Genomic DNA, 19,384 nt, shown 5'->3' with positions numbered 1-19,384 from the left:
GTGGCGCAATCTCGGCTTACTGCAACCTGCGCCTCCCAGGTTCAAGCAATTCTCTTGCCTCAGCCTCCCAAGTAGCTGGGATTACAAATGTGCGCCACCACATCTGGCTTTTTTTTTTTTTTTCTTTTTTTTGTACTTTTAGTAGAGACAGGGTTTCAGCATGTTGGCCAGGCTGGTCTTGAACTTCTGGCCTCAAGTGATCCCCCCACCTCAGCCTCCAAAAGTGCTAGGATTACAGGTGTGAGCCACTGCGCCCAGCCAAAATTTTGTATCTCTTAATCTGGGTAGTACTTACATAACTGTTCCCTTGGTGACAATTCATCCACTGAATACTGATAATCTGTGTACTTTACTATATACAGATAAAACTTCAACAAAATTTTATTGATATTATTTATACACTAAAAATCTGAGCATTTTGACCCCAAAAGATAAATTGATGTCAACTGCAAAAGTAAAAGTGCTTTGTTATATAGGCTGCCTTCCAAGAATTCAAGGTTGACACCCCCAGAAAGATGTAAATAGCATACTCGGCACTCATATAGCATTCAGCTGTACACTTAAGCCACTATATATCCCTCGGCACCAATCCAAAAATTTCACAAACACTAACAAATGAGGCTGAAATTATTCCATCAACAGTTTGTTTGCATTAGTTTTCCCAGTGTTAAACTGTGAACTGTTATCAGAGAATAGGCTCCATGAAGTAAATGATGCTTTCTCTTTCCTAATCCCACACACTCTCGAAGCTCCCCCAAACTAAAACCTTCTTGGCCCCTGAACTCCTTAGGACTTCTCCAGGGTGTTTCTAACGGTGCTCCCTATTCCCTCTCCCAGTAACCACTCTCACACTCTACCTCCCACACATACAAAAACTCACATTAATGCTCACTCCAGAGACGTGTCTCCCTCCCTAGCCAGACTTCTACCCTCTCCCTGTATCTCACAACACAATCCAAACCCCCACTACCCTCAAACTCCCACTATTCAGAAATTCCCTGCCAACAGCATCACAAAACCAGGGCACATGGTATCTTTTCAATCCTCTTCGGTAGTAGTCACACAAAAAGCCGTTGCTACTGTAAGCTCTTCTGCCTGCCTATTCAAAGGCAACCACAGTGGTTATTATCTCCAACTCTTCTCTTCCCTTTAGCCCCCGCCTCCTTTACTGCACTCAAATCCATTTCACTTTTCAACCACTCTCTCCCCTACAACCTCTCCCTTCCTCTTTCTGAATCCTTCCTAAGTCCCACTGGTAGCTGATGGAAAGTTGGAGGGGTGTATGAAAGAACTCACTCTGTCCTGTGTAAAGGTGGTGGAGGAAGGCTGCCCAAGTCTCAAGCACGTGCATGGCTGCAGAGTCAGACACTGGATTCTGCAACCCAGCCCCACCACTTACTAACTGGAAGGCTCTGGACAAGCCTCAGTTTCCTCAACTGCCAAATGGGGGTAATAAAAACAGCTATCTCACAGAGTTGTGAAAATTCAGTGAACTAATGGCCACTGAGCCCTTTGCACAAATCCAACACGGTAAGTTCTCAGTAAATGACAGTTTCTCTAGATCCTCTTCTTGGCAGGAGGAATAAAGGGAGAGGGTGAAAGGTATTCTTTAGGTCTCTTTAATGCTAAGATTCCTGCAAAATCTCCCCTTGGGGGACAGAAGGAAGGCAACCGATATAAGGAGGGAAGTACTCTACAGATATGTGAGTGAAACAAAGAGTTTTGTCACATCTCCAAAGTCAGTGTTTCCCCCTTCTTATCTTCCTACAACGCAGAGCCAAGAAGTCCTCAAAGCCCTTCCTAAAGGATGGAGGAACACATGAATATATACATCAAATCCTCCTTCCACAGAGACTCACTGAAGGGAATGAAGAAGGAAAAAGTCCTCCTAATTATTAAGATGCGTTCCTTGGGACTCGGAGAATTAGGAAGGAAACCCCCAAGTCTTGAATACATTTCTCTAAAGAGGCCGAATACTTAATAATCAGGGGAGATTAAAGCAAATGGTAGACACCCTAAAGTCTCCTCCAGGGCTCTTGCACGAAGAGTACAAACTGGTTTCTCCGTAAGCGGGGATGGCCAGGTGGGGAAAGAAAGGAAAAGTGCTTTCACTATGGCCCGTGGGACACAGGGGGTTCCCCGGGTCCCTTCCTGGGCGGAACGAGGGAGAGGGTCTGCGCGGGGCAATCCCCGGCTCCCTGCGTTGGGGGAGGCGGCCTCGGGCCGGGGCCCCAGGGACTTGAGCTGGCTGGCTGCTTGTCCCTTAACAAGCCCATCTCCTGTAACGGGATTCTCCTAGGACTCCGGGATCTCCCGGAGGTTCGGCCATCACTGGACCCCTCCCCGCACAAACCTCCTGACAGTCTTCCTCAGTCCCGCGAGCCCTCCGGGTCCCTGCTCTGGGTGTCCCGGCTCGCGGGGTCAGCCCGGAGCCAGCAAGCTCTCCACGCGGGCCTGCCCGGGTCCCTCCCGAGTGCTGCGAGCCGCGCGGGCTTACCTGCTGAGACGGCAGCTCCACATGCAGGGCCCGCGCGGCAGAACCGGGAGGCAGAGCAGCGGCCGGGCCCGGGGGTGGCTGGGGGACGGGGCCCCCGACCGACGCGGAGGCGCTCATCTCGATCCAGGGGCCGCCAAGCGGCGGGGCGGGCACTCTTCCGGCATCCGCCGCCGCCCCCTTGCCACCACCTACCAAGCCCCTGCAGCCTAGAAACCCGCCACCCGAGAGGCACTACTGCTCAGCCCAGACAGTAGCCGCCGCCGCTGCCGCCGCTGCCGCCGTTGCCGCCGCTGGCTAAGGAAGAGCCATATTACCGCAGTGCAACCCCTCCACCCCGCTGAGACCCGGAGCGCTCATTGGCTTAGCCCTCAAGGGGGCGGGACCCAACGGCAGAAAAGGGGCGTGCTATTGGGTAGAAGGTCTGTCCATCGCTGGCATTACTGGACTTGGGGGCGGAGGGACTCAAGGATGGCCTCAATTGCGTCTGTCAAGCCGGGGTGAAACCTGGGGCGTTGCTTCTTTTTTTCCCAGTCTAATTGGTTCTTTTACTACCAACGGGCAGAGTCTCCTGGTGGAGGCGGAAGGGCCATTGCAAGAGGTCGCTGTCAATTGTCAGTAAAGGGAAAGAGGGGTGGGGTCTTGATTAGGTAGAGCGCGCTTCTGGGCTCCGGTGTCACGTGCAGGAGGCGGGAGAGTCACCTGATTAGGGAGAACCGGTCTTCTGAGCCACTTCCGCCCTCACTGGTTGCCGTGGTAACAGGCCTCCGGTGGAGGGCGGGGACCCTCGGAAGCCAGCTGGGTGGCGATCGCTTGTCTGCCTTGGCAGGCCCCTTGTGCAGTCTTTTCCCGGCGTGAGCGTGCAGGGATTGAAAAGGAATGCTTTATGGTTCAGCAGAGAGCCACCACGCAGGATGCACTGGGACCTGAGAACCGTCGGGCAGTCCCACGAGCTCTTTCATGACCAGCTCCAACCGACAAGTACACGCCCCTTCGCACTCCACTAGCTAGTAAGCTGAGCTACAAGGTGTGCCAGGCACCCAGGACGCCGATTCACCGCTTCAGGTGGGCTGTTTGTGCTGTGTCCCCAGAAAGCCTTTGCTACTTATCCATCAGTCTTAGCTGGGGCAGGAGTCCCTTCTTCCAAAAGGCTTCTCTGAGCCTCTCTGGGACCTTGAGTTAGGAATTTTGACCCTACCGTGGGTCTGGATTATTCTATTAATTTTTTTTAACAGTGCCTCATTCTTTCGCCCGGGCTGGAGTGCAGTGGCAAAATCACGGCTCATTGCAGCCTCGACCTCCTGGGCTCAAGTGATCCTCCCACCTCACCCTCCTAAGTAGCTGGGAATACAGGCACATGCCACCAGGCCCAGCTAATTTTAAAATTTTTTTGTAAAGATGGGGTTCTGGCCATATTTCCCAGACTAGTCTCAAACTCCCAGGCTCAAGCGATCCTCCAGTCTCGGGCTCCCAAAGTGTTGGGATTACAGGCATGAGCCACCAGGCCTGGCCACATTGTCTTTTAACACATGTAAGCAGCCACCCTCCTTCCCACACACACACAAAATACTGTGAATTCTTCAAGCAAAAGGACTTTGTCTGATTCATCTCTGGATCCCCAGTGCCTGACAGAGAATCAGGAAATTTTTTTTTTTTTTTTTTGCAGTGAAGGCCCAGCTCAAATGCCACCTCTTCCATGAAGACTTCCGTGATCCACAATGATAGCATCTCCAGCAATTGCTTCTATAATGAATAGCATGAGTCATTCTGCAGGATGTTGATCTTCCTTTTTTTACTCCTAGACTGAATTTTTCCACCACCTGGATGAACATAGCAGAAAGAACATAGTGTTTTAGAGTCAGACACAATAGGAATCAGGCACTTTGGAATCTTGGCTCTACCACCTTTGAGCTATGTATCCCAAGGCAAGTCACTTCCCCTCTCTCAGCTTTAAAATAGTAATAGGATTGCTGTAGGGATTAAAGTAAATCAACATATGTAAAGTGCCCACACAGGACCTGGCATATAGTAGTTGCATTTTAAATTTTTTAAACAAAATGTAAGCATACTATCTTTCCAGGGTGTTCAGAAGCCTGAAAAACACCTTGGATCTTTTCTCAGAGCTGGATCACAAAGATGTCACACTGTCTCCTGTTCTGACACACTGAGTGGTTCCTCATGGCTGGAGCCTGGGGCGTGTGGTCAGGTGTTTGTTGAGAAAGGAGTCGCTTGATCAGGTGTTTGTTGAGAAAGGAGTCACTGGGAAATCCCAAATATTATCTGATTGAACTCATGTGGTGCCAAGATCTGGGGGAATTTCACAGAAAACACATTTCTGTTTCTAAGCTGTATTAGTTTTCTGAGGCTGCCATAACACATTATCACAATTCTTGCTTGAGCCCAAGAATTTGGGACCAGCCTGGGCAACATGGCAAAACCTTGTCTCTACAAAAATACAAAAATTAGCCCAGCATGTCGTTTTCACCTATAGTCCCAGCTACTGAGGAGGCTGAGGTGGGAGGATTACCTGAGCCTGGGGAGGTTGAGGCTGCAGTGAGTCAAGATCATGCCACTGTACTCCAGCTTGGGCAACAGACTGAGACCCCATATCAAAAACAAACGAAGAGTGATCATCCAGTTACTCACTGCTGGGTCTGAGGGAAGCCCAAAGGCAGTGGGAGCCAGAGAAAATAGTTGAGAGTCAGATTTCACAGTGGAGGTGACATTGAAACAGGGTATTGAAGGGCCAATAAGAGTTCACCAAGTCAGGAGAGAGGGAGGAAAGGACATTCCAGCAGAGAGCAGGATCTATTCTTTCCACAAGCCTTTACTGAGGTTCACCTTTGCACAGGCTAGCTACTGGGTTCTGGAAATGCAGAGCTCAAGTAAACAACCCTTCTCCCACTTTTCCCAAATGCCGAAAACATTAGGAGAACTAGGACTCTCATCCCTAGGGGCATTGGGAAGAACTCAAAAGCCTGCTGCTTGCAAAGTATTCAAGATGATGTAAAGCATTTAACACACTGTCTGGGAGATAGTACATTTTTAATAAATACTAGCTGTCATTATTTTCATATGTCCTATTTCATTCTAAAAACTTTTCTTTCTTGTTTTTGAGACAGAGTCTCTCTCTGTGACTCAGGCTGGAGTGCAGTGGTGCGATCTCAGCTCACTGCTACCTCTGCCTCCCAGGTTCAAGTGATTCTCCTGCCTCAGCCTCCCAAGTAGCTGGGACTACAGGCATGCACCACCACACCCAGCTAAGTTTTTTTGTATTTTTAGTAGAGACAGGATTTCACCATGTTGGTCAGGGTGGTCTTGAACTCCTGACCTCAAATGATCCACCCACCTCAGCCTCCCAAAGTGCTGGGATTACAGGCATGAGCCACCGCGCCCGGCCCTAAAAACTCTTTTATTATTGGGATCCTATTTCATAATATGGCTGATTGTTTCAACATAAAAATATTTTAAATCACAGAATTAAATTATTATAATATTTACATAGTGCTATATATCCCCCAGAGAAACATATATCCAAGTTTAGAGAACATAGATTATAAGGTGGCCAAATGCAATGTATATGCAATGATAGAAGGGGTCCAAGGTCAAGTGGTAAGAGTGACCAACTCTTCAGGAGCTGGTGGGCAAGGTCAGAGCAGGCTTCACCAAAGTTATAAAGGATGATTGGGAGTTTAGTAGATGAACAATAGGTGTTTAGATCTGTTTGGCTCGGGAATAGCTAGTGTTTTAACAGCTAATTAGTACCATGTTGGGTATTTAAATCAAACATTCAGTTTCCAGGGCCAAAAAGCTAAGCCTACCCCAATCCATTTGCCTCCACTTCCTCCTCCCACCTCATGGGCCTGATGCATTGGGTAAACAAGAGCAAGATAGGGCAGATGGGTCTTTCAGTGTCTCAAACTGTATTGAGTTAAATCTATCCCCTTCCTTTCAACAGAGCCCTCTTTCTTCCATTCACTTACCTGTCTAGTCAAACACCCATCAGACCTTTGCCAGGTGTCCAGCCTGGGCACTACGTTTCAGAAAATGATGCACATAGAATCCCTAACTGAAAGGAGATCGCAGCTCATTTGGTACAAAGTGGTAAGTACAATAATCGAGATGATGTATAAAGTACAGTGGAAGCACTAAGAGAAAGGTGCTAACTGTCACGTGTTGTCCAGGAAGGCTTCCTAGGAGAGGAGAGTATTCTATGCAGGAGGAACAGCATGAGCAAAGGCACAGGGGTAGAGGAAGTGACAGCAGCAGAGTCTAACATGGCTGAAACAAAGGCTGCATGGGAGAGCAACAGGCAAAAAGATTGGAAGAGGAAGCTAGGGCCGGGTGAGAAGAACCTGACTACCAGGCCGAAGAACATGAGTTTCATCGTGGGCAACAGAAAGCACTTAGAAAGATGGCTCAGGCAGCCTTGGGGGAGGGGTAGCTTTGAAGGGGCAGGACTAGAAGAGTGAGACGCTTGCAGAAAGCAGGTGAGAATTGTAAAAGAAAAAGGCCATTCCCCAAAGAAACTGCACATACCCAAGAACCCTGAAAGGCAGGTGCCTAGACAGCATTTTCCCTTCTCCTTTCCCAACTCGGCAAGGTCATTTTCTCAAAAAAGGCTTCCCAGGTCTGAACGAACTGCTACTTCCTCTGGGCTCCTACAGCAGCTGTCTGACCTCTCTTCAGTATGTGTAACTGTGTGCCTAGTCATATATTGAGCAGTCTACATTTGTCCCTCCCACTCTGCTGTGAACCTCTGCTTTTGATTTCTCTGAGTCCCCAGCATCCCAACACAGAAGACAGGCTCCATAGCGTCATTGAGCAAATGGCTGAATGAATGAAGTCAATGAATGAATGGACAAATACTTGAGTAAGTGAATGTTTGGATCACATGGGGGCCTCCATTCCTCCCGACTAGACACAGCCCCCAGAGAGGGGAAATGAGCTTGCTAAGGTCACACAAAGTTTGTAGCAAAGCTAAGACAAAGAGTTGGGCCTTTTGTCCCCAAGACCAATGCTCTTTCCTCAGTTCCAGTGGTTTTCCCACTGCCACTGACTGTAAAGGTGCCAGTGTGAACACAGGAGCTTGTGAATGTGCAGGCCAGTGAGGGTAACACGTATGGGAAATAAGCACATCTAACCCAGGGAGCTGATATACCGAGAGTTGTCCAGAGAAAACTTTCCTTGGGAACTGATGTTTGCAGTGAGGTCTGAAAGATGAGTAGGAGTTAACTGGACAAAGGAGGCTAGTGAGGGCAGGGGAAGCTGTTGGATAAAGGAACAGGAGGAACAGCCCATGAAGGACTATATGGAGCATTGCAGCAACTCAAAGAGAAGGCCAGCTGGTGCCAAGGAGGAAGAGGAGAACACTTTCGAAAGAAATTGGTATTTCAAAACCAAAACCAAACCAAAGACCACCTTCAGTTTCTTTAACAGTTTAGTGTTGTTCTTACTGGTAATTTTATTTACTTATTTATTTATTTATTTTTGAGACAGGGTCTTGCTCTGTCACCCAGTCTTGAGTACAGTGGTGTGATCATGATTCACTGCAGCCTCAACCTCCTCCCAGGCTCAGTCGATCCTCCCAAATAGCTGAGACTACAGCGCATTGCCACACCTGGCTAATTTTTGTATTGTTTGTAGAGATGGCTTTTGCTATGTTACCCAGGTTGGTCTCGAACTCCTGGGCTCAAGTGATCTGTCTGCCTTGGCCTTCCCAAATGCTGAGATTACAGGTGTGCATCACTGCACCTGGCCCTTATTTGTAATTTTATATAGTAGAAGCAGCACTATCCTTTGGTGCTTAGAGCTTCTGAAGTCCTAATCCAGCCCTGACGGCATAGAATGAGGCTGGAGATGCTGGCAGGGCCAGGTCCTGCCAGGCATTGTAGGCCACAGTGGAGTTTGGATTTCTTTGAGGCTCATGGACAACTATTAAGGGGTTTAAGCAGGGGAGTTACATGCTCTCATTTATGCTTCAGAAATGTCACTCTGGCTGCTGTGTTGAGTAGATTCGGGGGTGGGCAAAGCAGTGAAAATGGTGATGATAAATTGTGACATTTCTTCATTGAGTTTGAGGACAGTTAGGACAAAAATGTGCTGAGTTCCTGGTAATAAAGGCACTCAAGGGACGTCTGATTTCCCTGTTAGGCTGATTCTTTGACTGGTGAGCCACTCCCCAGGCAGGCATAGCATCACAGAGTTTCTGAGAAGGTACACCCTGGATGCAAAGCAGTGTTGCTGAAAGACTCCATGCCAGGGGTAAGCATCTGGAGACCAGTCTGAACCTTTAGCTTATTCATTGCATGATTTTAGACAAATCAATTCCCCTCTATGAGTCTGCAGGTTTCCCTAGGACCTAGAGGGAACTAACATTTGCTAAGTGTTTTACATACATTATTACTCTGGTCAATCCCCACAGGATCCTGTGAAGTAGGTATTATTTATTTGTTTTATTTTATTTTTTGAGACAGAGTCTCACTCTTTCACCCAGGCTGGAGTGCAGTGGCACGATCTCGGCTCACTGCAACCTCCACCTCCCAAGTTCAAGCAATTCTCCTTCCCAAGAAGCTGGGACTACAGGTGTTAGCCACCATGCTCAGGTAATTTTTGTAGAGATGGGGTTTTACCATGTTGGCCAGGCTGGTCTCAAACTCCTCACCTCAGGTGCTCCACCCACCTCAGCCTCCCAAAGTTCTGAGATTACAGGTATAAGCCACCGAGCCTGGCTCAAGTGGGTATTATTGTCTCAGTTTTACGGATGCCTAAAAAAAGGATCAGAAATTAAAATGACCCGTCACATGGTTCTTAGGGCAAATTGATGGTGTGAACCCAGGTCCTCAGGGCAGGACTTTGTCACCCACATCATAGCTTCTGCATTCATTAGAATACACTATTTAGGACTAGTTGGTTATAAATATGAGAAGGAAAAGAACTAGGATGAACCCTGTTATCCGTAAATTAAAACTGGCCAGATCTTGGTTTGTAGATACCGTCCTCCACTAGGAGGAATCAAGACTCTTTGGAGAAGTGGCTGATTCCAGGATTAGGCCAGAAAAAAAGCAAAAGATGATTCTGGGGCATCCAGTTGTGCCAGAAAGTAAGGAAGTCCTCAGAAAAATGATGGGACAAATGACATCAAAGGGACACAGAAGCCAGTTCGAAGGGGCTCTCACTGTCCAAAACTGGGGCAGTTTGAGCATCAGAATAAATGTTAGAATGGCTTATAACCCATTGAATAAAATAGGTTCCATAAGTCTTTATAATAAATGTTTAGTAAGAAAGGAGATATTTGTAAAGTCTCAAACTACCAAAAAAAGAGTAACTTTACAGTGGAAAAGTGTGGCAAGTCACCATCTTAAAAGTGATCAATGAGGCCAGGCGCGGTGGCTCACGCCTGTAATCCCAGCACTTTGGGAGGCCAAGGCGGGCGGATCACGAGGTCAGGAGATCGTGTCCATTCTGGCTAACACGGTGAAACCCCGTCTCTACTAAAAATACAAAAATATTAGCCAGGCGTGGTGGCGGGAGCCTGTAGTCCCAGCTACTCTACTCTGGTGGCTGAGGCAGGAGAATGGTGTGAACCTGGGAGGCGGAGTTTGCAGTGAGCCGAGATTGCGCCACTGCACTCCAGCCTGGGCGATAGAGCGAGACTCTGTCTCAAAAAAAAAAAAAAAAAAAAGAGTGATCAACATGACCATCATCAGTAATATGACAAATTCAAATTATCTGCTTCCTGACAGGATGTGATGAGAAGAGCCCATCATCACATCTGTGATATTTCTGCCAAAGATAAATAACCTGAACCAATCATAAGGAAACAATAGGCAAAACAAAACTGAATGGCATTCTAAGAGTACCCAGCTCATCATCTTCAAGATTGTCAGTCATGATGGTCAAGGAAAGACTGAGTATCTGTTTCAGATAAAAGAAGATCGAAATAACATGTGACTCTGAACTTGATCCTTTTGCCAGAATGGACACTATTAAGACAAATGGTGAAATTTGAATAGGGCCTGAGGATTAGATCGTAGTAATGTTTTTACGTTAATTTCTTGGTCTTCATGGTTTCATTGTAGTTATATAGGATAACATTCTTGGCCATGCATGGTAGCTTACGCCTGTAATCTCAGCACTTTGGGAGGCCAAGGCAGGAGGATTGCTTGAGCTCAGGAGTTCAAGACCCGCTAGAAAGAGAGAGACGTCGGGCCGGGCGTGCTGGCTCACGCCTGTAATCCCAGCACTTTGGGAGGCCGAGGCGGGTGGATCACAAGGTCAGGAGATCGAGACCATGGTGAAACCCCATCTCTACTAAAAATACAAAAAATTAGCTGGGCACGGTGGCGGGTGCCTGTAGTCCCAGCTACTCAGGAGGCTGAGGCAGGAGAATGGTGTGAACACAGGAGGCAGAGCTTGCAGTGAGCCGAGATTGCACCACTGCACTCCAGCCTGGGCAGCAGAGCGAGACTCTGTCTCAAAAAAAAAAAAAAAAAAGAGAGAGACGTCGTCTCCATGAAAAATAAAAAACAATTGGCCAGGCGTGGTGGCACATGCCTGTAATCCCAGCTACTTGGGAGACTGAGCTGGGAGGATCACTTGAGCCCAGGAGCTGGAGGCTGCAGTGAGCTATGATCGTGCCATTGCACTGTAGCCTGGGTGACAGCACAAGACCCTCTCTCAAAAAAAGAAAAAAAATAACATTCTTGTTTGTTGAGAGTGATGAGTTATGTCCACAACATACTCTCAAATAATTTAGGAAAAAAATTATTTATATTGTACTTGAAAATTTTTATGAGATTGTTTCTAAAAAAATATTTAAAAATCGTGTAATGTTCATTGTAATCTATTTCACGGAAACAAAATGAAAATTATTTATTTTACTTTTATCCTAATATTTTGCTCATAAAGCTTAGATTCATTTGTTTATTTAAGAACAGTAGGGGCCAGGTGCGGTGGCTCACGCCTGTAATCCCAGCACTTTGGGAGGCCGAGGCAGGCAGATTGCCTGAGGTTGGGAGTTCGAGACCAGCCTGACCAACATGGAGAAACCCTGTCTCTGCTAAAAATACAAAATTAGCCAGGTGTAGTGGCGTGTGCCTGTAATCCTAGCTACTCGGGAGGCTGAAGCAGGAGAATCACTTGAACCCGGGAGGTGGAAGTTGTGCTGAGCCAAGATCACACCATTGCACTCCAGCATGGGCAACGAGAGCGAAACTCTGTCTCAAAAAAAAAAAAACCAAAAAAAACAGTAGGGCAGACTTTATTCAAGAGGGGCTACCACAGTGGAGTTCTGTAGCAGGAGAGAGAGATCAGGCTCAACTCCCTAAAGCTTAGATTTTAAAAAACAATAATTTATTGAGTGCTTGGATTGTGCCAGGCATTGTTACAAGCAGTTTTTGTGTATCGACACAACAGTGCTATGAGATTAGAAAGTGAAGGCAGTCACATGTTCTGAGTTTCGAGCTGGGATTCTAAAGCAGTCTAACTCCAGTGTTGTTAATCCTACATTTTACTGCCTCTAATGAAATAGTGTTACTGCATATATTTTCAATACATTTATATAGCGAAGTCATACTTTCTTGGAATATATTTTTATATCATATACATTGAATGAAAAGATATACTGTTCATGTTTAATAGAAGAAAAATACTTTGACATATTAGTTTTCATCAAAAGTAAATATAAATCTCAAAAATCATTTGATACTTCAGAGAAGAAACTTTTTAAGATGTATGTTAGTGTGATTTAATGATACATAAAAAACATAAGAAATAAAATGTGTATGTATGATTTAAAAAATTAGATGAAAATATATGAAACAAAACTCCCTAAACGGAAAGTGGTAAAAAATATTTTGAAAAAGAGTTTGCAAGGAAGGGAAACAGGAATATGAAAAAGAAGTTTGAAATAAATATATGAAGCATGCGTTTGCTGTAAAAATGGTGGTGGAAGCAGGGGGTCGGGGAAGTCTCCACTTTTCTCCTCCTCATAATCCCATTATAACTCTTTAAATGGGAAAATATTCCACCCTCTCAGAAGTACTAGGGAAGAGTGTCTTCCAAACTTGCAGTCCACCCCATGGAAACAAAAGTGAAATATTTGATTTGTGAGAAGACTAGAGGTTGTCATCCTCTGGTCCAACTTCTCTATCAGGTGGTATAAATATATTAAAGTCACTGTATTAGTTTAAGACACAAACTGGGTGGCTTAAAACAGAAATTTATTCTCTCACAGTTCTGGAGTCCAGAAGTCCAAAATCAAAGGCTGTGCTCTCTTAGAAGGCTCGAGGAGAGAATCCTTCAATGCCCCTTCCAGATTCTGGTGGCTCCAGGTGTTCCTTGCCTTATGCCTACACAACTCCCAATCTCTGCCTCTATTTTTTTTTTTTTTTTTTTTTTTTGAGACAGAGTATTGCTCTGTTGCCCGGGCTGGAGTGCAGTGGCATAATCTCCACTCACTGCAACCTCCACCTCCCGGGTTCAAACATTCTTTTTTTTTTTCTTTTTTAGACGGACTTTCGCTCTCGTTGCCCAGGCTGGCGTGCAATGGCGTGATCTTGGCTCACTGCAACCTCCAAGGTTCAAGCGGGTTCAAGCGATTCTCCTGCCTCAGCCTCCCGAGTAGCTGGGATTACAGGCATGCACCACCACCCCAGCTAATTTTGTATTTTTTAGTAGAGACGGGGTTTCTCCATGTTGGTCAGGCTGGTCTGGAACTCTCGACCTTAGGTGATCTGCCCACCTCAGCCTCCCAAAGTGCTGGGATTACAGGCGTAAGCCACTGCGCCCAGCTGGATTCAAACAATTCTTGTGCCTCAGCCTCCCAAGTAGCTGGGACTACAGGTGTGCACCACCACACCTGGCTAATTTTTGTATTTTTAGTAGAGACGGGGCTTTGTCATGTTGGCCAGGCTGGTCTCACTACATTGCCCAGGCTGGTCTCGAACTCCTGGGATTGAGCAATTCTCCTGCCTCGGCCTCCCAAAGCGTTGGGATTGTAGCGATGAGCCACTGCGCCTGGCCTGTTCTTCTAAGAACACCTATCATTGAATTTGGGTCCCACCTAGATATTCAGTATTACCTCATCTTGAAATCTTTAACTTAATTTTATCTGCAAAGGCCCTTTTTTCCAAATAAGACTACATTCACAGGTTCAAGGAATTAGGATGTGGACATATTGTGTGGGCCACTATTCAACCCACTACACCATTCTTATATGGCCTGCCCCTCTTTTCTCTCAAGCTACCCTGTCCAAATGATGGAGAAATTAAGATGTTAATCTTAATTTGTATTAATCTGGACTAAAGTGTCAACCAACCACTAAGAAAATAACTCAAAAATATACAGAAACAAGAAGATAATTAAAATAGTATATTAGAAAACAGTTGTCTAACACACAAGAAGGCAGTAATGGAAAGAGTGAGGAATAAAAAAATAAGACACACAGAAAACAAATAGCAAAATGACAGATGTAAATCCCACCTTATAATTATATTAAATGTAAAGAGACTAAACAATCATATGGCAAAGAGTAGAAATGTGGATATAAAAAATATCCAACACTATTATGTCTACAACGCACTTTATATTCAAAGACACAAATAAGTTGAAAGGGAAAGGATAGAAAAGACATGTCATGCAAATAGGAACAAAAGAGTGTTGGGGTCGCTGTACCAATGTAGGTTATACACAGTAAACTTAGAGACAGAAACTGTTACTACAAAGAGCAGCATTTTATAATGATAAAGCGTGGATTCATCAGGAAGACATAACATAAACATGTTATAAACACGCATGCAGGTAACGGCAGAGTCCCAAAACACATGAAGCAAGAACTGACAGAACTGGAGGGAGACATCAATCAATAACAACAGTTGGAGAATTCAATACCCTGCTCTGAATAATGGATAGAACAATTAGGCAGAAGACCAACAAAGAAAGAGGATATTTGAACAACGTGATAAGCCAATTTGACCTAATAAATATCTTTATCTGTGAAACACCCTAGCTTTTAGCCTGGGTAAGGAGCTGGAGAGATGTGAAAATGTGGAAAGCAAGCCTAAGTCGCAGTGTGGCCTATGCCTGAGAGCCATCTTCAGTGCCCCCTTGTGGCTGTATCTGGGAACCACAGACAGAATCATGGAACTGACCATCTTCAGTCTCAAAGTGCTGCCCTCACCACTACACCCAGGGGCAGGTGGTCTTCGGGGGAAAGGCGGTTCCAGTTCCTTCTCCCAAGGTAACAACTCCCATCCCAAGGCAATGTTCACAGAACCTATCAGAGTCCCCCCTGCCCTATGCACAGCTTAAGACCAGGGTGGTCTCAGCTCTGATCAGGCCACTGAGGGCATCTGTCTGAGATTTGGGACCCAGTTATTGTCCCTGTTCTTCTTAGGCAGATGGCGGAGTTCCCCAGTACACAGAAGGTGCTCACTCTTCACAAAAAGCAGTGCTTGAGAATAACAGCCTACCTTGGTGGAGTAGCTTCGTTAGGGCCAGGGCTTGACTTGAAGCCAGAGACTGAGGTTGCAGTCCAGCCTTGGGTCAGCCTCAGGCTGGGGCTGGGGTGATGCTGAGACCCTCACCAGAAAAAAGGCCTTTACCCCATCCGAAAGGAAATGGCTATCCTCTGACCTGAGCACTCTAGCCTGAGGCCTGCCTGGCGCTAGAAGCCAGCCTCTGTTGTCCCCTCCCAGCACTCCTCCCACTGCTCTGCCTTTCTGCCCACATAGAAACTCTGGAGACACCAGCTCCCCACCCTTCCAAGCTAAGCCCCACTGCTGTCTCTGCCTCCTCCATCTTTCAAACCGGCAATGTTTTTCCAATCAGGCCTCCCTATCCTTCCCCTACTGCTCTGCCCTTCACTGCCTTCCTTTCCTGGCGACTCTCAGCCGCCCTTCAAGGCCCAGCTCAGGCGTTCTTTCCTCAGTGACGCACCCCCGGGCAGGCTGGGGCTTCTGGCACAGCTCTGGCCACCCTGCGTATCTTCAGCTGTTCCCAATGTTTGTCTCTGCTCCCAAGTAGCTCTCTCACAGTTTCTGGCACAGAGGAGTTGGCCCTGAGGGGGATGAACAGCAAGGACAGGCAGGACAGTTCTGGCAGTAAGGAAGTTAGAACAAGGTCCTTTGGTCTCGGCTAGGAAGGGTTCCCAGGTGCTTAGTACTCACTGAACAGAAAGGAATTAGAAAAGAGGTGGCATCTTGTAATCGCTAGGGTGACAGCAGGCCAGGCCTCTGCCTTTTTGGTAGAGCTGAGGCCAGGGGCAGGGAACACAGCTTGAGTGACCCATAAGGAGCCTTCCAGCTCAGCCACCCAAGGGCCCCCCAGCTGGACAGGAGCCCTTTACCACATGGTAGGCATCATGTCAAGTGGCTCCCAATGACCCCTGCCCCCTGGCATCCATTCCCTGGTGTAATCCCCTCCCGTCCAGTGGGAGCTGGACCGAGCAATGTTCATTTAATGAACAGAATATGGCAAAAGTGACAGGATATCACTTCCCAGGTTAGGTTATAAGGGCCTGGGACTTCCGTCTTGCTCGCACACTTCACTCCACTCACTGGCTCTTCTTGCTAAGTAAGCTGGTGTGCCGTGAGCTACCCCATGGAAAGGCCCATGTGGCAAGGAACTGAAAGTGGCCTCTGTCAACAGCCAGTGAGGAAGTCAATCCTGCGAACAACTGCAGGAACGGCCTTGGGAGTGGATCCTTCCTCAGCCCGGCTCCAAGACAACTGCAGCCCTGTGAGAAACCCTGAGTGGAGGACCAAGCCAAGCCTCAAATCGTGACTTGGAACTGGGAGACAACAGATGCTGTTGGAAGCCACTGAGCTCTGAAGTAGTTTGTTACACAGTGACAGGTAACTTACACACCATGGCAGGGTCATGTGGGCCAAAGGTGCAAGGGGCTAGAGGGCTCAGAGGGCAGCCAGCTGGGGACCCAGTCTTCCCCAGGTGTCAGCAGCAGATGCAGATGCAGCCCCAGCAATAACTCATAGAGGATTCTCACTTTCATTTATTTTCAAGGCATATACAAAAGTCTGACATGGTGCAATGATCTCATCAAGAGATAACAGAACACACAGGAGAGGGTTGGGTTTCCTCCCCGGCCCAACCCCCTCAGGAAGGCACAGAAAAGTGAGGCTTGGGTTCGGGGGCCACCTGCTTTGGAACTAATCTGCTGCTCAGAAGGCCAGGCCCCTTCTGAAGAGGGATCTCTTCCTCACATCCAGAATCTAGGATCTGGGGAAGGTAAACTGAGGCCACCAGTAAGCATGTGCTCCAGGCCAAGGCTGAGTCTGTGCTGCATCCATGTCATCAGCCACCCAAGAAAAACCAGTTACTCCACCTAGCTCATGGTGGCGGCATCCTCCCTGCAATGGTGCATGGGGGGCAGTCCTTTCCCCTGCAGGGTGTCATTGCCACCCCCATCCTCATCCTGGAGGCCAGTCCAGGCTCCGATATGAGTGACTAGGGGTGAGGTAGGGGTGGCAGAAGGGAGATCAAACTGGAGCATTCCAGATGCCTACTACTGCCCTCACACAACGGGGCAACTGTGCTCTCCAACTCCTCCCCTTGGCAGAGAAACTGGTCCTGCAGTTTCAGGACTAGACGAGCGTGGGGTAGTGGCAATAAAGGGGCTTGTATGAGAAGTGGCTTTCGCCTCTCATCCCTAGGGGCAAAAAGTGAATCATCTAACTGGTCCAAGTCACTAATGGCAATCCTTCTTCCCCAAGAAGACTGAGTTTCCTTTGTCACTTCAGGAAGGGAAGAAGAGAGGTTAGCTGAGCCACCCAGATTAGGCCCAGATTTAGCCACCACCTAGAACAGGGCAAGCTGGAAGTGAAAGAACTTGAAATACTGACTTTTTCCTTCTTAAAAAAGACCTAACATTGTAATGGTTTAGCAAAATTGTTATAATTTCTTTTAAATAACCCACAGACACCCATGACACTTCCAAATTTACAGAGCAAAAAAGTGATTTGCAGCTGGTTCCTCCAGGGAATTGGCCCCGAAGGCTGGCTCAGTTCACCTCCAGGACCTCAGTCTCCGGGAGGCCGAACTTGGTCTTGTGCTTGTCGAAGAGCTTCACCAGGGCCTCCATGTACATGGTGTGGTACAGGTCGATGTCTTGCTGGGTTGGGTGCTCCAGCTTGGGGATGGTGATGGGCTCTCCCACTGCAGGGACAGGGCAGAGGCTTCTGGTTAGTCAACACCCTTCCCCTGGGCATCCACCATGATGCTGAAGGTGGTGACGCTGGGCTGTGGGCCCGCCATGTGGAAGGAACTGTGCCAAATGCTTTATGTGCTGCATCTCTGGTTGTCCCCTATTACAGATGAAAAGACTGAGGCCCAGGGGCATGTGAAGGGACCCACCCGAGGCCACCAGGTGCTAAGCTGCAGATGGGATCAAGACTGGTTGAACCCACTGCATTCTGCTAGGAGGGTCTATGAGAGTCAGGGGATCAAGTAAACATCTTTGCTTTTGCTCTGCTCTGGGCAAGCCATTCCTGCCTCTCTGACCCTCAGTTTCCTCATCTGTCACATGGGGATTCTTCCTCATAGGGGTTTTCTAAGGATTCTGCAAGGAATGTGACATGCTTTAAAAAGTGTAGGCCAGGAGTGGTGGCTCACGCCTGTAATTCCAGCACTGTGAGAGGCAAAGACCCGCAGATTGCTTGAGCTCATGAGTTCAAGACCAGCCTGGGTAACATGGTGAAAATCGTCTCTACCAAAAAAAAATACAAAAAATTAGCTGGGTGTGGTGGTGCACGCCTGTAGTCCCAGCTACTCAGGAGGCTGAGGTGGGAGGATCGCTTGAGACTAGGAGGCAGAGGTTACAGTGAGCCGAGATTGCGCCACTGCACTCCAGCCTGGATGACAGAATGAGACCCTGTCTCAAAAATAAAAAAAAAAAAAATAAAAAGTGTGGTTAAGGGCAGGAGAGGAGGGAGTAGACCAGCATTTATGATCTGTGCGTTGCTTTATTTTCTTATCCTGCTGCATCTCCATACCCAATCCATTCCTATGTCCTGCCAATGCTATTTCTGAAATTTTTCCCAAATCATGCACATCTCTTCCATCTCCACTGCTACTCCCTTGGTCCAAGCCACTGGCTACCAAAACAGTCTCTGGGCTGGTCTCGTGGCTTCCATTTTTCTAACCCATCTTCCATCCAGCAGCTCCAAGGATCATTTTTAAATGCAAATCTGAACTTCCCCTCCCAAACACTCTCTGGTGGCTCTCCATTCTCAAGGTGAAGAGCAAATTCCTTCACATTGCCCACAGGACCCAGCCCCTCCCCAGCCACACCTGTGCATGGAAATGTTCCTGCTGCCTCCCTGTTGCTTTGTCTCTACCTAAAAGTACAAGGCAGGACACCTGGCCTAGGAACGCAAAGGATCTGTGTGAGCTTTGGCCCCTCAAGTCCACTGCCAAGGGCCCATGTGCTCCTGGGGGATCCATTAACATGCACACACACACCTACAATAGGTAATTCTTTAGAATCCTCTAAATGGTCCCAAATACACCCAAAACAACACAGACGAGGGCCAAGTGCAACCAGTGTTTTCCACTCTTCTGACAGGTCTATGCTGCAGTCATATTAATGTTTTTCTTTCTGTTCTTCAAAAAAACTACACAATCTTGCTTCTGAACTTCACGTAGGCTATTGTTTCTGATAAAAATTCTCTTCCTCCTCTATTTTGCTAGATAATTCCTATCAGTTAGCAGTGCAAGAGTTACCTCCTCCCTGGGGTCCGCTATGACTCCCTAGAGCACCTGCGCATCCTCATCACATTCCCCCACTAGTCTTTGCTGCAATAGTCTTCCCTGATAGACTAGTGGGTGCTGCAAACCCAGAGACTGCAGATTTTCTTTCCTCACTTATCACAG

General features: G+C 47.4%; 2 protein-coding genes and 1 long non-coding RNA gene across 14 annotated transcripts in view, besides 6 other annotated features; 1 reads left to right on the top strand and 2 right to left on the bottom strand.

Moving 5' to 3' along the window:
• Positions 1–2,812, bottom strand: part of UVRAG (UV radiation resistance associated) — a 329,023-nt gene extending 326,211 nt beyond the window's left edge. For all 9 annotated transcript variants that reach the window (NR_170160.1, NR_170161.1, NM_001386671.1 and 6 more), the window contains exon 1: positions 2,498–2,812. Coding sequence is in view for 7 of the 9 variants with exons in the window: in NM_001386671.1 (NP_001373600.1) it covers positions 2,498–2,614 (117 nt within the window). In the remaining 2 variants the exon portion in view is untranslated. The remainder of the gene's footprint in view (positions 1–2,497) is intronic.
• Positions 2,489–2,688: a silencer, noted in NCBI's record as "silent region_3777". NCBI's record gives its function as "represses an Ori minimal core promoter by ATAC-STARR-seq in GM12878 lymphoblastoid cells {active_cell/tissue: GM12878}" and the evidence as "EXISTENCE:reporter gene assay evidence [ECO:0000049][PMID:35858748]".
• Positions 2,984–3,278: an enhancer, noted in NCBI's record as "tiled region #8; HepG2 Activating DNase unmatched - State 1:Tss, and K562 Activating non-DNase unmatched - State 1:Tss". NCBI's record gives its function as "activates a minimal TATA promoter and a strong SV40 promoter by Sharpr-MPRA in HepG2 and K562 cells {active_cell/tissue: HepG2 | K562}" and the evidence as "EXISTENCE:reporter gene assay evidence [ECO:0000049][PMID:27701403]".
• Positions 2,984–3,578: a biological region, named in NCBI's record as "Sharpr-MPRA regulatory region 8".
• Positions 3,149–3,578: an enhancer, noted in NCBI's record as "active region_5279". NCBI's record gives its function as "activates an Ori minimal core promoter by ATAC-STARR-seq in GM12878 lymphoblastoid cells {active_cell/tissue: GM12878}" and the evidence as "EXISTENCE:reporter gene assay evidence [ECO:0000049][PMID:35858748]".
• Positions 3,225–4,508, top strand: UVRAG-DT (UVRAG divergent transcript). The gene is made up of 2 exons (NR_144531.1): positions 3,225–3,559; positions 4,161–4,508. It is a non-coding gene; the product is annotated as a UVRAG divergent transcript (long non-coding RNA).
• Positions 3,502–4,701: an enhancer, noted in NCBI's record as "CDK7 strongly-dependent group 2 enhancer chr11:75524366-75525565 (GRCh37/hg19 assembly coordinates)". NCBI's record gives its function as "activates an origin of replication core promoter dependent on BRD2, BRD4, P300/CBP, MED14 and CDK7 cofactors, with strong dependence on CDK7, by STARR-seq in HCT116 cells {active_cell/tissue: HCT116}" and the evidence as "EXISTENCE:reporter gene assay evidence [ECO:0000049][PMID:35650434]".
• Positions 7,311–7,360: an enhancer, noted in NCBI's record as "active region_5278". NCBI's record gives its function as "activates an Ori minimal core promoter by ATAC-STARR-seq in GM12878 lymphoblastoid cells {active_cell/tissue: GM12878}" and the evidence as "EXISTENCE:reporter gene assay evidence [ECO:0000049][PMID:35858748]".
• The window catches only part of DGAT2 (diacylglycerol O-acyltransferase 2), a 32,757-nt gene continuing 29,860 nt past the window's right edge, over positions 16,488–19,384 (bottom strand). For all 4 annotated transcript variants that reach the window (NM_032564.5, NM_001253891.2, XM_011545304.3 and 1 more), the window contains one exon: positions 16,488–17,668. In NM_032564.5, coding sequence (NP_115953.2) covers positions 17,514–17,668 — 155 coding nt within the window. In that variant the 3' untranslated portion in view covers positions 16,488–17,513. The remainder of the gene's footprint in view (positions 17,669–19,384) is intronic.

Source organism: Homo sapiens, chromosome 11 (genome assembly GCF_000001405.40).
Source record: "Homo sapiens chromosome 11, GRCh38.p14 Primary Assembly".
Classification (NCBI taxonomy): domain Eukaryota; kingdom Metazoa; phylum Chordata; class Mammalia; order Primates; family Hominidae; genus Homo; species Homo sapiens.
This window is presented reverse-complemented; position numbering and strand designations above follow the sequence as displayed.